This window comes from Homo sapiens, chromosome 16, assembly GCF_000001405.40.
Source record: "Homo sapiens chromosome 16, GRCh38.p14 Primary Assembly".
NCBI classification, from domain to species: Eukaryota; Metazoa; Chordata; class Mammalia; order Primates; family Hominidae; genus Homo; species Homo sapiens.
This window is the reverse complement of record NC_000016.10, coordinates 15,658,925-15,675,444: the sequence shown is the minus strand read 5'-3', so window position 1 is coordinate 15,675,444 and position 16,520 is coordinate 15,658,925. Positions and strand designations below refer to the sequence as shown.

Here is a 16,520-nt window from a genome sequence, read left to right as displayed (position 1 = left end):
CAAGCAAAAAAAAAAAAAAACCCAAAATCACCAGCCTGGCAACATGGCGAAACCCCGTATCTACTAAAAATACAAAAAATTAGCTGGGCCTGGTGGCGGGCGTCTATAATCCCAGCTACTTGGGAAGCTGAGGCAGGCCAATCTCTTGAACCCGGGAGGCGGAGGTTGCAGTGAGCCCAGATCGTGCCATTGCACTCCAGCCTGGGCAACAAGAGCAAAACTCTCTGGCAGTGGTGGGGGACTGGGAGGGGGCGGGCAGGCAGGCACACTGAATAACTGTTTCAATTATGTCCTAAGTGCCTCCCACCTCCTGCCCCTTGAGCACCTTGAATCCTGCCCACTCCCAAACCTGGTTCCCACAATCTTCAGACAAATCATTGTCTGAAGCCCCCAGCAATCTTCAGACAAATCATTCTGCCCAAGGTGTCCACAACCAAAGAAAGCCACATGGACCTCTCCAAGCCTCATCCACAGGGGCAACGCAAGCCTGCTTTCACACATTATCACCGTATTACAAAGAGTCACCAGCGTGGCCCACAGAGCCAGACTCAGTCTCTACAAAAAATAAAAATTAGCAGGGCATGGTGGCGTCGCCTGTAGTCCCAGTTAGGAGGCTGAGATGGGAACACCATTTGAGCCTGGGAGGTTGAAGCTGCAGTGAGCCGTGATTGCATCACTGCACTCCAACCTGGGCAACAGAGTGAGACCCAGCTATCTCAAAAAGCAAAAAAAAAGGAATCTCAATGACTTCTGTTGTTTGTGCCCACAACAATGGGAGAGCAGCATGTACTTGGTTTACACAACAGTCAATTATTCTGAATTTTTGATCCAGGACTCTCCGTTGTAGCATGGAGACAGAAAGAACATTCCAATCTCTGGGTTTAAAAACAAAGACAGGCCGGGAGCAGTGACCCACACCTGTAATCCCAGCAATTTGGGAGGCTGAGGCAGGTGGATCACCTGAGGTCAGGAGTTCAAGACCAGCCTGGACAACATGGTGAAACCCCGTCTCTACCAAAAATGCAAAAAAAAATTAGCCGAGTGTGGTGGTGCGTTGTCTATAATCCCAGCCACTCGGGAGGCTGAGGCAGGAGAATCGCTTGAACCCAGGAGGCGGAGGTTGCAGTGAGCAGAGATTGTGCCACTGTTCTCTAGTCTGGGCGACGAACAAGACTCCATCTCAAAACAAACAAACAAAAACTAAGACAGAAGGGAGGGAGAAGATGGAGGAAGGGAAAGGGAGAGAAAAGGAGAGGAGAGAGACAGAGAGGGAGATCTTGTTAATTACCAAAGAAACAGTCCAGCGCACTTCTCAATGATTCCCTGTTGCCAGCTGCAGCAATAACATCCATTACATACTTATTCTGTGCTGGCCTCCAGGCTAAGTACACTTCCTATGTTGTCTCGTTTAATTCCACTTCAGAGACATGAACACTGAGACTCAATTACTTAACTAGCCCAGAATCAACCAGTAGCAAATGACTGGGCCAAGACCAAACCCCAGCCTCCTGAGCAGGTGTCCTTAAGCAATTATGCTAACCAGCCCTAAACCATCTCAATCCAGATCACCTGCCCGTTCCCGTGCTCTCTCGATTCTATTCCTGCTCTGCTTCCAAATTACTTTCCTTCACCAAACACCCAGAGCCAGGTGCGGTGCCTCATGCCGCAATCCCAGCACCTCAGGTGGCAGAGGCATATTAGCCTAGGCAACATAGGAAGACTCCATCTCTACAGAAAATTTAAGAACAGCCAGGCGTGGTGGCATGCACCTGCAGTCCTAGCTATGGGGGAGGCTGAGGTGGGAGGACTGCTTGAGGCCAGGAGGTTGAGGCTCCAGTAAACTATGATCATGCCACTGCACTCTAGCCCAGGCCAACGCTTAAAAAAAAAAAAAAAATCACCAGCCTGGGGCAACATGGCGAAACCAAAATACAAAAATTAGCCCGGCATAGTGGTGCACGGCTGTAGTTCCAGCTACTTGGGAGGCCAAGGCGGGCAGATCACTTGAGGTCAGGAGTTTGAGAACAGCCTGGCCAACACGGTGAAACCCCCGTCTCTACCAAAAATACAAAAAATAGCTGGGTGTGGTGGCAAGTGCCTATGGTCCCAGCTACCCGGGAGGCAGGGGAATCGCTTGAGCCCGGGAGGCGGAGGTTGCAGTGAGCCAAGATTGTGCCCCTGCACTCCAGCTTGGGTGACAGAGACCCCATCTCAAAAAAAAATCAAAACCGAAAACACAAAACACCCATCCTAGATTCTACAAACATAAGAGAAAACACTTCCCACAAGAAAGGCGCAAGGTCTAATTTAAAAGTTAAAAAAGGCCAACTTCTCTTTACTCAATCAAGTAAACAAAGCCGTTGCTAGAAAGTCCGGATGCACCCAGGGTGATGTAATGGTGCCTAGGCCAGAGAGGCGTGGCGAGAGCCATTGTGCAAGAAGACTCCAAAGAAAGAACAAACAGATGATTTACAGCGTTGGAAGGATGAGGAGGGCGGACCACATCCCTGCTGCCGCCCGCAGCACCCTCCCCATTTCCTGGCTGTAAGCAGAGAAGTATCTGCACCCAGCAAGTAGAGGCAGACCAGGCCCTGTTCCCAGGCGTGGCTCTCATCGCCTCACACCCTTTATTTGGGAACATCTCCAAATAAAACAGGATCTTAAGTCATTAACCTAAATTCAAACGCAGGCTCCAGGAGGACGCAGCGAGTGGGCTCCACCGACTGCACTGGCGATTGAGAGATCTCCTCGGAACCTGTGGACATGAAAACCTGTTGCTGAAATGTTGTGCTGCCATTTGGGGCTAATTCGAATAAGCTGTCAGCTGATGGGGGCATCAATAGATGCTCTGTTTGGTCCCTTAAAGGCTTTTTCATTCAACCCGTGATGAATAAGCCAGTTGTTAAGAAGTCCGGCCCAGCTGAATATATTTCTCTTAGGTGACTGACAAATACTTGCTGGTGGCAGGGTCCTCGTTATTCCAAGGTACCCTGTTTCTTCACTGTGCTGTGTGCTCTGAGTCTCCTGCATCTGACATGTGGCTGCAGTACAGTGGCGCAATCTCAGCTCACTGCAACCTCCACCTCCTAGGTTCAAGCAATTCTCCTGCCTCAGCCCCCGAGTAGCTGGGACTACAGGTGTGCGCCACCATGCCCAGCTAATTTTTTTATTTTTAGTAGAGACGGGGTTTCACCATGTTAGCGAGGACAGTCTCAATCTCTTGACCTCATGATCCGCCCGCCTCGGTCTCCCAAAGTGCTGGCATTACAGGCATCAGCCACCACGCCAGGCCCAAGAGCTCAGTCTTGAAGCAGAGAATTACTGAGTAATTCTCTTGATATTTTACTCAGGATCCATGGAGGGCCTGTTATCCTCTCCAAACTGCAGTTCATACCACTAATCTTCCTCCTACCCAGCTTTTCAACCCAGAGTCCCCTTCAATTTAGGAACTATAATCAGCCAGGCGCAGTGGCTCACACCTGTAATCCCAGCACTTTGAGAGGCCGAGGCAGGCGGATCACTTGAGCTCAGGAGTCCCAGACTAGCATGGGCACATGAACCCGTCTCTACAAAAAATAACAAAAATTAGCCAGGCGTGGTGTGGCAGGTGCCTGTAATCTCAGCTACTTGGGAGGCTGAGGTGGGAGGATCACTTAAGCCTGGAAGTCAGAGGTTGCAGTGAGCTGAGATCACACCACTGCACTCCAGCCTGGGTGACAGGGGGAGACTCTGTCTCCAACAGCAAAAACAACAACAACAAAAAGAACGATAATCATTGCTCATTGTGTGTAGCAGGTGTTCAGCTGTTAACAAATGGGTGAAGTGGGCCAAGTACAGGGAGAGGCAGATGACACTAAGGTCTCCGTGTCACGGATATGGGGATTGGGGGAAACTCAACAATGTGTGTTCTAAACAACCACTACTCAGGTTTTTTATTTTTTAACTTTTGCTCTGTCACCCAGGATGGAGTGCAATGGTACAATCATAGCTCACTGCAGCCTCAACCTCCTGGGCTCAAGCAATGCTCCTGCCTCAGCCTCTTGAGTAGCTTAGACTACAGGTGTGCACTACCATGTCCAATGAATTTTTTATTTTTATTTTTTTGTAGAGACAGAGTCTCGCTATGTTGCCCAGGCTGGCCTTGAACTCCTGGTCTCAAGCAATTCTCCCTCCTCAGCCTCTCAAAGGGCTGGGATTACAAGTATGAACCACCATGCCTGGCCAGAAATCCATCTTTTTACAGGAAGCTTTACAAATTTTGATGGATGGGGGAATATATATAATAAAAGGCAAGTAAGTAGGGGAAATATTATTGGTAGAGCCTAGGTGGTGGTGGATACACAGGTATTCACTGGAAATTCTTTCAGCCTTATATGCTGGAAAACGTTCATGGGGAAATGCTGAACAAAAACCCCTGAAGGCGATCAAACAACACCTATGGGGCAGATGGATCTGCAGACGGCCAGCTGCACTCTGTGGTCTCCAACAGAAAGCTTCAGCTTCAATGACCACCTTCAACGTGTCTGGGACCTCTCCTCCGCCCTGCCCCAAACCCCCAATCCATTTGTTGGTCCCACACCCTTTCCTATACATTAGTAAAGCTGGGCTTGCCAAGGTCCACCCGACACCCATTCTTGTCCACGTCTGTGATGGGTACAGATCAACTCTCCTTCAGCCCCATCTCCCCAAGCACCAAGTGTCAGCAACACATACACCTACAAACACCCTCCACACAGCCTCCCTCAACCCATGCAGTCCTTTCTTTTTCTTTCTTTTTTTTTTTTTTTGAGACAGAGTTTCGCTCTTGTTGCCCAAGCTAGAGTGCAATGGTGCAATCTCGGCTCACTGCAACCTCCGCCTCCCGGGTTCAAGTGATTCTCCTGCCTCAGCCTCCCAAGTAGCTGGGATTACAGGCACATACAACAACACCCAGCTAATTTTGTAGTTTTAGTAGAGACAGGGTTTTGTCATGTTGGTGAGGCTGGTCTCAAACTCCCAACCTCAGGTGATCTGCCCACCTCGGCCTCCTGAAGTGCTGGGATAACAGGCATGAGCCACCGCACCCAGCCAGTCCTTTTTCTCTTGAAAGGCCCCCACATCAGAGTTCTGTGACTGAGCTTCACGTCCCCAACTGCTTCATGGCATTAGGTTTGTCTTCCCAAAGAAGGCAACCAGCACTTCCCCTTTCACCGTCCATCATACCTAGCCCTGGGCACACACAGTTTTGACTCTTCCATGAAGCAGCTCATCAAAATGTACATTGGGAGTTTAATGAGAAAAAGAAAACCACACAGACATGCCAGGGCCCCACCCAGACTTACTGAGAAATGGAATCTCAGAGCAAGGCGGGGAGATGGGGATGGGGAGAGAGGGTTCAGGCCTGTCGGATGTTTATGAAGCTGGCCTAGTGATGCTGGCTGGCAGCTAAGGCTGAGAGCCAGTCTCTGGGGCACGGTGTTGACTTAGTGATCCCTTGCTGAGCCCTACAGCATGTACAGAAGGGATGGTTTTTACCTTGCAGAGCACTGGGTCTCCAGATACCTGGCTATGTCTAGAGGTGCTTTTGGTTTTCACCACCTTGGAGGTGCGGGGAATGCTACTGGCATCTAGAGGGTGGAGGCCAGGGATGCTGCCAAACATCCCACAGTGTGGTCAGGCGGGGTGACTCATGCTTGTAATCCCAGCACTTTGGGAGGCTGAGGCGGGCGGATCACCTGAGCTCAGGAGTTCGAGACCAGCCTGGCCAACATGGTGAAACCTCGTCCTTGCTAAAAATACAAAAATTAGCCGGGCGTGGTGGCTCACACCTGTAATCCCAGCACTTTGGGAGGCTAAGGCGGGTAGATCACACTGTCAAGAGATCAAGACCATCCTGGAAAACATGGTGAAACCCCATCTCTACTAAAAATACAAAAATTAGCCAGGCATGGCGGTGTGTGCCTGTAATCTCAGCTACTCAGGAGGCTGAGGCAGGAGAATCACTTGAACCCAGGAGGTGGAGGTTGCAGTGAGCCGGGATTACGCCACTGCACTCCAGCCTGGCAACAGAGTGAGACTGCGTCTCAAAAAAAAAAAAAAAAAAAATTAGCCAGGCGTGGTGGAGGGTGCCTGTAATCCCAGCTACTCAAGAGGCTGAGGCGGGACAATCACTTGAACCTGGGAGGCGGAGGTTGCAGTGAGGTGAGATTGTGCCACTGCACTCCAGCCTGGGCAACAGAGCAAGACTCCATCTCAAAAAAAAAACAGGCTGGGCACAGTGGCTCACGCCTGTATTCCCAGCACTTTGGGAGGCTGAGGCAGGCGGATCCTGAGGTCAGGAGATCAAGACCATCCTAGCTAACACGGTGAAACCCCGTTTCTACTAAAAATACAAAAAATTTAGCCAGGCGTGGTGGCAGGCGCCTGTAGTCCTAGCTACTCGGGAGGCTGAGGCAGGAGAATGGTGTGAACCTGGGAGGCGGAGCTTGCAGTGAGCCGAGATCGCGCTACTGCACTCCAGCCTGGGCAACAGAGCAAGACTCCATCTCAAAAATACAAAACAAACAAACAAAAAACCCACAAAGCAAACCTCAGTCCCTCCCAACGGAGGATGATCCGGGCTCCAATGTCAACAGCAGCCAGGTCGAGAAACCTGCTCTGAACTGGCAGAGTGCAACACACCTTTTGGTAATGAAGGAAATGGTCTGCAGCCCCTCTGTCCACTAAGGAAACTCACTGGCCACACGTGGCTCCTAAGCACTTGAAATGTGGCTACTGTGACTGAGGAATTAAGTTTTTATTTTAATTCATTAAATTTCAACAGCCAAATGTAGCTAAGGGCTACAATATTGGACCTGATGATATTACTCTAGCAACACCTCCATACCCTAAAAATGTCTCCCTGGCCAGGTGGTGGCTCATGCCTATAATCCCAGCAATTTGGGAGGCCAAGGCAGGAGGACTGCTCGCGTCCAGGAGTTCAAGACCAGCCTGGGCAACACAGCGAAACCCTGTCTCTATAAAAAATACAAAAACTAACCAGGCATGGTGCCGCATGCCTGTAGTCTCAGCTACTCCCGAGGTTCAGGTGGAAGGACTTTGGTTTTTTTTGAGACGGAGTCTCGCTCTGTTGCCAGGCTGGAGTGCAGTGGCACAATCTCAGCTCACTACAGCCTCCAACCATCAAGTGATTCTCCTGCCTCAGCCTCCCAAGTAAGCTGGGACTATAGGCGTGTACCACCACGCCCAGCTAATATTTGTAATTTTAGTAGAGACAGGGTTTCATCATGTTGGCCAGGATGGTCTCAATCTCTTGACCTCGTGATCTGCCCACCTCAGCCTCCCAAAGTGCTGGGATTACAGGTATGCACCACCTCGCCCGGCCCAGGTGAGAGGACTGCTTAAACCTGAGACGTCCAGGGTGCAGTGAGCTGTAATCCAGCCACTGTACTCCAGTCTGGGCAACAGAGCAAGACCCTGTTTCAAAAAAAAAAAAAAGTCTCCCTGCCATGTGCCCTATAAAATCAGTGTACACAACCAAGAAAGTCCACGGGAACATGTGTGTGACTTGCTTCTCAAAGCTCCACCCATCATGGATCCCGAGGTCAGGAGTTCGAGACCAGCCTGGCCAACATAAAACCCCGTCTCTACTACAAATACAAAAAAAATTAGCCAGGCGTGGTAGCAGGCGCCTATAATCCCAGCTACTCAGGAGGCTGAGGCAGGAGAATTACTTGAACCTGGGAGGTGGAGGTTGCAGTGAGCCAAGATCGCGCCACTGCCCTCCAGCCTGGGCAACAAGAGTGAAACTCCATCTCAAAAAAAAAAAAAAAACAAAACAAAAAGCACCACCCACTAGAGGCACAAAGAGTTCAAAGATCACGTCTGCCGCACAGGCCCTTCCAGAGATGAGCATGGGCCTGGGGTCTGGAGTCCCTCATTGCAGGGTTCCTTCTTCCAGCCAAGCATGCCATGCCTGTGTTGGACGCCTGTCTACACCTGAGCACACTTCCTCTCAGCCCCTCACCTTGATGGTTTCCAGCTCCATGCGAAGGCGGTTATTTTCGGACAGGAGGTCTCTGTTCCTGGTTTCAATTTGTTGCAGCTGCGTCTCCAATTCAGCTTCATATTCTCGGCTTCCCTCCTGGAATTCTCGGAGTTCCTCTTGCGTATTTTCTGCCCTACAGCAAAATTGTTAATCATCACGTAGTAATATTTTTGAAGACAGAGTCTCGCTCTATCACCCAGGCTGCAATGCAGTGCTGCAATCTCGTCTCACTGCAACCTCTGCTTTCCAGGTTCAAGCGATTCTCCTGCCTCAGTCTCCCGAGTAGCTGGGACTACAGGCATGCGGCACCACACCCAGCTAATTTTTGTATTTTTAGTAGTGACGGGGTTTCACCATGTTGGCCAGGCTGGTCTCGATCTCCTGACTGGAGGTGATCTGCCTGCCTCGGCCTCTCAAAGTGCTGGGATTACAGGCGTTAGCCATTGTACCTGGCCAAATTCAAGGAATATTTTAAAAATATCAAGCCTGAATTACCTTTAAGTCAAACTAGAATAAAGAAAGTAGGAAGGGCTGGGTACAGTGGCTCATTAAGAATTACTTGAGGCCAGGAGTTCCAGACCAGCCAGGGCAACATAGTAAGACCTCATCTCTACAGAAATGTGTTTAAAAATCAGCCAGACATGGTGGCACACGCCTGTAGTCCCAGCTACCTGGGAGGCTGAGGCAGAAGGATCACCTGGGGTCCCAGGGGTTGCAGTGAGATAGGTCACACTTGTGAAGAGCCAGTGCAATTCAGCCTGGGTGACAGAGTGAGACCCTGACTCTAAAATAATTTTTATTTATTTATTTGAGATAGAGTCTTGCTCTGTCACCCAGACTGGAATGCAGAGGTGTGATCATGCGTCACTGCAGCCTCGACCTCCCAGGCTCAAGCAATTCTCCCACCTCAGGCTCCCAAGTAGCTGAGACTATAAGAACATGCCACCATGCCTGCTAATTTCTGTATTTTTTGTACAGACAGGGTTTTGCCATGTTGCTAGAGCTGGTCTCAAACTCCTGAGCTCAAGTGATCTGCCTACCCAAAGTGCTGGGATTACAGATGTGAGCCACTGTGCCTGGACCTAAAATAATTTTTCAATAAATGAAAGAAACTAAGGGGACTGGAATAAGGCCTCTATGTACAAATTATAAAGACCCATTATAAATAAAAACAGTGCCAAACCAAACGCACACACACACACCTCCCAGATATGAGCCCTGACCAAAACACGAGTTTCAAATCTTAAAATCTTTAGCAATATATTTTGCTAGGCATAGGGAAAAGCTCTTTCCCTGTGCACAAAGAACTTACCAGATATGGCATCTAGGAACTGATAAAAACCCTTCTAGAAAATAAGATGGACACCGGGCGTGGTGGCTCACGCCTGTAATCCCAGCACTTAGGGAAGCCGAGGCAAGTGGATCACCTGAGGTTGGGAGTTCGAGAGCTGCCTGACCAACATGGAGAAACCCCGTCTCTACTAAAAATACAAAATTAGCTGGGCATGGTGGTGCATGCCTGTAATCCTAGCTACTCGGGAGGCTGAGGCAAGAGAATCGATTGAACCCAGGAGGTGGAGCTTGTGGTGAGCCGAGATCATGCCATTGCACTACAGCCTGGGCAAGAAGAGCGAAACTCCATCTCAAAAAAAAAAAAAAGAAAATAAGATGGAAGGCCAGGCATGGTGGCTCATGCCTGTAATTCCAGAACTTTGGGAGGGTGAGACGGGCAGATCACGTGAAGCCAGGAGTTCAAGACCAGCCTGACCAGCATGGCAAAACCCCGTCTCTGCTAAAAACACAAAAAATTAGCCAGGCGTGGTGGTGGGTGCCTGTAATTCCAGCTACTCGAGAAGCTGAGGCACGAGAATTGCTTCAACCCAGAGGTGGAGGCTGCAGTGAGCCAAGATGGCACCACTGCACTCCAGCCTGGGCAACAGAGTGAGACTCTGTCTCAAAAAAAAAAGAAGAAAAAGAAAATAAGAAAACAAAATGTAAAGTAGCATAGTAGGATAATCAGGACCATAGGTCTGGAGTTCAAATTCCAGCTCTGCTACTTATTGGCTGTGTGACTGTGAGCAAGTTATCTGCCTTCACTGAGGCTCAGTTTCTTCATCTATATAATGGGGTGCTAATAGTTTTTTCACAGGCAGTTTTGAGATAGTGTAAGTTAAGCCTTTCACACTGCCTGGCACATATAGGCCTGCAATAAATGGTTGCTGTTCTTTTTATAGAAAAAAGAGAGCTCACACCTGTAGTCCCAACACTGTGGGAGGCAGAGGTGCATCACTTGAGTCCAGGAGTTCAAGACCAGCCTGGGCAACATAGCGAGACCCCTGTTTCCGCCAAAAAAAAAAAAGCCTGGCCTGATGAAGCACACCTATAGTCCCATCTACTTGGGAGGCTGAGCCAGGATGATCGCTTAAGCCCAGGAGTTTAAGGCGGCTGTGCACTATGATCACGCCTAGGAACAGCCACCGCACTCAGCCTAGGTAACATAGCAGGACCCCATCTCAAAAAAAAAAAAAAAAGGAAAAGCAGGTGAACTCGGACTGACCTCTGTTTGTAGGTCATCGCCAGATCTTTCCAATAGTTAGCTTCTTCCTCCTCGGAGCTGAAAGTCTTTCCGGAGTCCTCCATTGTGAAAACAGGGGAAGAGATCACTCTCCTTGTGGCATGGTGTCTAGGAGAGAAGGTTTCAAAATGATTACCCACATCTGGTTAAACAGCTGATCCCCTTTAACAGAAAAAAAAAAAAAAACTTGGCCAGGCGCGGTGGCTCACGCCTATAATCCCAGCACTTTGGGAGGCTGAGGCGGGCGGATCACGAGGTCAGGAGATCGAGACCACCCTAGCTAACATGGTGAAACCCCGTCTCTACTAAAATACGAAAAATTAGCTGGGTGTGGTGGCGGGTGCCTGTAGTCCCAGCTACTCAGGAGGCTGAGGCAGGAGAATGGTGTGAACTCAGGAGGTGGAGCTTGCAGTGAGCCGAGATGGCGCCACTGCACTCCAGCTTGAGTGACAGACCGAGACTCTGTGTCAAAATAAATAAATAAATAAATAAACTTTATGCTGGGTTAAATGATTAAATACTGCCAAAAATCTGAAGCTAAACCCAAACAAAACACAATCCACTCACCTGTTATATTCCCTGGGTTAACATCAAGGCTCATGGATATCCCTATGCAAATATTTATTGAGCACCTACTAAAGGACCTAGGGAGCCACATAAAACGTCTCCAAGATGCCTGCCTTCCCTAAAGGGGCCTCACAGTCTGGTGGAGGGAGTGGGGGAGTGGGGGCTGGAATGGAAATTACGCATAAAATAATAATTATAATTATTATTTGAGACAGACTCTTGCTCTATCACCCAGGCTGGAGTGCAGTGGCGTGATCTCAGCTCACTGCAACCTCTGCCTCCTGGGTTCAAATGATTCTTGTGCCTCAGCCTCCCGAGCAACTGCGATTTTACAGGCATGCGCCACCACGCCTGGCTAATTTTTCTATTTTTAGTAGAGACAGGGTTTCACCATGTTGGCCAGGCTGGTCTCAAACTCCTGACCTCAAGTGAACCACCCACCTCAGCCTCCCAAAGTGCTGGTATTACAGGCGTGAACCACCGCACCCAACCCCATGTAAATTATGATAAAACTATGTGCCTAGTATAGCCACAGAAATGTGCACAGGATTTTGACATGCAATAAATTGCATATATTTGAGTATACACATTGGTGTGTTCTGAAATATGTATGCACCTGAAAATACATTTCTATCAGTGCCCAGGATATTTAAGAAGTTCAAAACTCAACCCGAAAGTCAAGGAAGGCTTCCTAGAAGAGGCGACACATGAGGAGCATGTGAAAGAATATGAAAAAGCCAGGTGCAGTGGCTCACGCCTGTAATCCCAGCACACTGGGAGGCTGAGGCAGGCAGATCACGAGGGCAGGAGTTCGAGACCAGCCTGGCCAATATGGTGAAACTCCGTCTCTACTAAAAAAAAATACAAAAATTAGCTGGGCGTGGTGGCGGGCACCCATACTCCCAGCTACTCAGGAGACTGAGGCGGTAGAATCACTTGAACCTGGGAGGTGGAAGTTGCAGTGAGCTGAGATCGTGCCGCTGCACTCCAGACTGGGCGACAGAATGAGACTCCGTCTCAAAAAAAAAAAAAAAAGAATATGAAAGAACTGGAAGGCAATGGTAATTGAGCAGGGGAAGAAGGAATGAGGAGAAACAGCCAGGCACTTGTAGGGGAGCTAGAGGGAGTCTGGTAAGCCTGGGTTGAAAGGTGACGAGTGGAAGGGAACCTACCTGGACAGACTGAAATAAAGGGGCTAAGTCACAGACGGCTTTTGCAAGATGTTAAGAAACTTAGTGGCAATGGGAAACCATTGGAGAAAGTTAGGGAAGAGAGTGATGTGATATGATGGGCTCTCCTGCTTAAAAAGCTGGTCCTGGTGGCCATGGACAGGCAGAGGAAGGACAAGGCCTAAGATGGGGAGCTCCTGCAGCAATGCAAGAAAGAAAGGAAGGTGGAGGCCAGGTGCAGTGGCTCACGCCTATAATCCCAGCACTTTGACAGGCCAAGGTAGGCAGATCGCTTGAGCCTGGGAGTTTGAGACCAGCCTGGGTAACATGGAGAAACTCCGTCTCTACTAAAAATAGAAAAATATCAGCCAGCTGTGGTGGCACATGCCTGTGTTCCCAGCTACTCAGGAGGCTGAGATGGGAGGATCACCTGAGCACAGGAGGCAGAGGTTGCGGTGAGCCAAGATAGTGCCACTGCACTAAAGCCTGGGTGATGAAGTGAGATCCTATTTAAAAAAGAAAAGAGACCAGGCACGGTGGCTCATGCCTGTAATCCCAGCACTTTGGGAGGCCGAGGCAGGCGGATCATGAGGTCAGGAGATTGAGACCATCCTGTCTAACACGGTGAAACCCTGTCCCTACTAAAAATACAAAAAAATTAGCTGGGCGTGGTGGCAGGTGCCTGTAGTCCCAGCTACTCGGGAGGCTGAGGCAGGAGAATAGCGTGAACCTGGGAAGCAGAGCTTGCAGTGAGCCGAGATCACGCCACTGCACTCAAGCCTGGGCGACAGATCAAGACTCCATCTCAAAAAAAAAAAAAAAAAAAAGAAAAGAGAAAGGAACGTGGCCTGAATTAGAAAGTGAGAATAGGCCAGGTACAGTGGCTCACACGTATAATCCCAGCACTATGGGAGGCCAAGGCAAGAGGACCACTTGGGACCAGGAGTTCAAGACCAGCCTGGGAAACACAGCAAGACCCTACCTTGACAAAAAAACTTTTTAAAAAATTAGACTGGTGTGGTGCAACACATCTGTAGTCCTAGCTACTCTGGAGGCTGAGGAAGGAGGATCACATGAGTCCAGGAATTTGAGGCTGCAGTAAGCTATGATCACGGTACTGCACTCCAGCCTGGGCAAGAGAGTGAGACCTTGTCTAAAAAAAAAGAAAGTAGGAATGAAGATGGAGGGAACAGAAATGGACTCCAAAAATATTTAGAAGGCAAACTTACCAGAACTTGATGAATTATGACTTTTCGGGGCAGGGGAGAGAGAAAAAGGAGGTGAGGACATCTTCTGGGGCTCTACCTTAGGCAATTGGGTGCCGCCACCATCCCCATCACCAGAGATAAAGACTTCCAGAAGGTGGCTGGGTGCAGTGCCTCGCACCTGTAATCCCAGCACATTGGTAGGCCAAAGCAGGTGGAATGCTTGAGCCCAGGAGTTCCAGACCAGCCTGGGCAACCTGGTGAGACCCTATCTCTACAAAAAATACAAAAACTAGCTGGTCATGGTGGTGTGTCTGTAGTTCCAGCTACTCGAGAGGATGAGGGGCAAGGAGAGGTCGAGGCTGCAGTGACCCATGACCATGCCACTGTACTCCAGCCTGGGCAACACAGCAAGATCCCGTCTCAAAAAAAAAGGACAATCAAAAGGAAAACTCGGCCGGGCGCGGTGGCTCACACCTGTAATCCCAGCACTTTGGGAGGCCGAGGCAGGTGGATCACGAGGTTAGGAGATCAAGACCATTCTGGCTAACATGGTGAAACACTGTCTCTATTAAAAATACAAAAAATTATCCAGGCCTGGCAGCGGGTGCCTGTAGTCCCAGCTAGTCAGGAGGCTGAGGCAGGAGAATGGCTTGAACCCGGGAGGCGGAGCTTGCAGTGAGCCGAGATGGCGCCACTGCACTCCAGCCTGGGTGACAGAGCGAGACTCAAAAAAAAAAAAAAAACAAGTAAAACTCTTGGGTAGGTGGGTGGGTTAAGGAGAGATAACAAACCCAGTCTCAGACATTCACAGCTTGACATGTCCATGACACACCAAGATGCAATATCGCAGCTGAAACTCAGGGTTGAAATTGGGTCAACAATATCCATTTGAAAGTCATGCGTCTATAGCTGGTTTTTCTCTTTTCCTCGTGACCATGGAAGAATCGCCTAGGGACTGTGTATGGAACAGTGAAGAATGCCAATATTGGAAAGGTGGGCAGTTTAAGAAATGGTAACCGAAGGAGGCAGAGAAGAAACAGAGTGAGAGAGATGAGAATCAGGAAGACTGTGCTGTCCTGGGAGTGGGCGGTTTCAAGGGAAAAAAGGGAAACATTCCAGTGTCACAAGGATGCAACAGAGAAGCAGGGAAGATAAGGGCTGGAAAATATCCACAAGGCTGAGCGAAAGTCGGTCACTGGCGGTGTGAGCAAGAACAGTTTCTACACAGTGGAGGAGGAAAGACGAAGAACTGAGTGCAGGAGTAACTGGGAGGTGAAAAAGAGGAAAGCGATGGAATTCTGGAGAATTACCTAAAAGACGATGAAATAAATTAGCCAACAGCTAGAGGATGTGGGCGGTAGGGGCCTTGGCTCTCAGGACTTTGAGCTGTTTCACAGCAGAGGTGAGGGAAGCAATTTTTTTTTTAAGAGATAGGGTCTCAATCTGTCAACCCAGCTGGAGTGCAGTGACACAATCATAGCTCACTGCATCTTTGAACTCCTAGGCGGCACTGATCCTCCTGCCTCAGCCTCCTGACTAGCTGGGACTACAGGTATAGGCCACTACGCCAAGCTAATTTTTTTTTTAAGAGATGGGGTCTTACTATGTTGCCTAGGCTGGTCTCAAATTCCTGGGCTCAAGCGATCCTCCTGCCTTGTACTCCCAAAGCACTAGGATTCTAGGTGTGAGCCACCACACCCAGCAAGAAAGCAGACTTCTATTAACAGTTGGGCTAACGGTTTGTATACTCCCTGTTGATAGAGGCTGTTTGATGTAATCACCTATTTTCTGAATTTATTTGAGGCTCTGAGCTTGTCAAAAGGGCATGAGGAATCCAAGTAAGATTGTGTCCAGGCCAGACTCAGTGGCTCGCATCTGTAATCCCAGCACTTTGGGAGGCCGAGGCGGGCAGATCACAAGGTCAGGAGTTTGAGACCAGCCTGGCCAATATGGTGAAACCCCATCTCTACTAAAAATACAAAAATTAGGCGGGCGCAGTGGCAGGTACCTGTAGTCCCAGCTACTCAGGCGGCTAAGGCAGGAGAATTGCTTGAACCCAGGAGGTGGAGGTTGCAATGAGCTGAGATCGTGCCACTGCACTCCAGCCTGAGTGACAGAGCGAGACTCCGTCTCAAAAAAAAAAAAAAAAAAGATTGTGTCCAAGGCCGGGCGCAGTGGCTCACACCTGTAATCCCAGTACTTTGGGAGGCCAGGGCAGGTGAATCACCTGAGCTCAGGAGTCTGAAACCAGCCTGGCCAACACACTGAAACCCCATCTCTACTAAAAATATAAAAATTAGCCGGGCATGGTGGTGTGCGCCTGTAATCCCCACTACTCGGGAGGCTGAGGCGGGAGAATCACTTGAACCCAGAAGGCAGAGGTTGTAGTGAGCCGAGATCGCACCACTGCACTCCAGCCTGGGTGACAGAGTGAGACTTCCTCTCAAAAAAAAAAAAAAAAAAAAAAAAAAAAAGATTGTGTGCAAGGTCCCTTCCTTCCCTCAAGAGAACTTAGAGGCTGGTGTGTATCCCTGGGGACAAAAGAATGAGCAAAAACCATCACTTTCTAAGATATAACCAACAAGCTATATAGTTTTGGTTAAAACATGAAATCATTAGGCTAAACATGTAAGTGTCAACACAGACACCACCACTAACTTCTGGTGGAAGTTAGTGAGCCTCACCCATGTTGAGCCAATGACAGAGGTGGGCCTAATTCATGCAGAACCAGGAAATGCACAATTGTACCTAGATTCAAGCACAAAACTTACCGATAACTCTGCATTTGTTGGGACTCATATTCACATCCTTTCTCCCTCCTACTTTTTCAATCCTTTCCCTCATTCAGAGAAAACATGCTATTTCCCGACCCACTCATCCCTCTGGAAAGCAGATTCTCTGAAAGTTTGATCAAGGCAGAAAGGCGAAATGTCATACAAAGCTGGCCAGACGTGGTGGCTCATGCCTGTAATCTC

At 49.1% G+C, this 16,520-nt stretch overlaps 1 protein-coding gene across 23 annotated transcripts in view, besides 1 other annotated feature; it reads right to left on the bottom strand.

Moving 5' to 3' along the window:
* NDE1 (nudE neurodevelopment protein 1) overlaps positions 1-16,520 on the bottom strand; it is an 82,972-nt gene that overhangs the window by 50,909 nt on the left and 15,543 nt on the right. For 22 of the 23 annotated variants that reach the window (NM_001143979.2, XM_047434261.1, XM_047434259.1 and 19 more), the window contains 2 exons: positions 10,584-10,709; positions 8,006-8,159 (listed from right to left, as the gene is read on the bottom strand). In NM_001143979.2, coding sequence (NP_001137451.1) covers positions 8,006-8,159; positions 10,584-10,666 — 237 coding nt within the window. In that variant the 5' untranslated portion in view covers positions 10,667-10,709. Of the gene's footprint in view, positions 1-2,673; positions 3,037-8,005; positions 8,160-10,583; positions 10,710-16,520 lie in introns of those variants that run through there. The other variant, XM_017023357.3, reaches the window with a different exon arrangement.
* Positions 1,910-2,651: an enhancer, noted in NCBI's record as "H3K27ac-H3K4me1 hESC enhancer chr16:15766651-15767392 (GRCh37/hg19 assembly coordinates)". NCBI's record gives its function as "activates a minimal SCP1, AML or CMV promoter by ChIP-STARR-seq in primed H9 embryonic stem cells {active_cell/tissue: H9 hESC(primed)}" and the evidence as "EXISTENCE:reporter gene assay evidence [ECO:0000049][PMID:30033119]".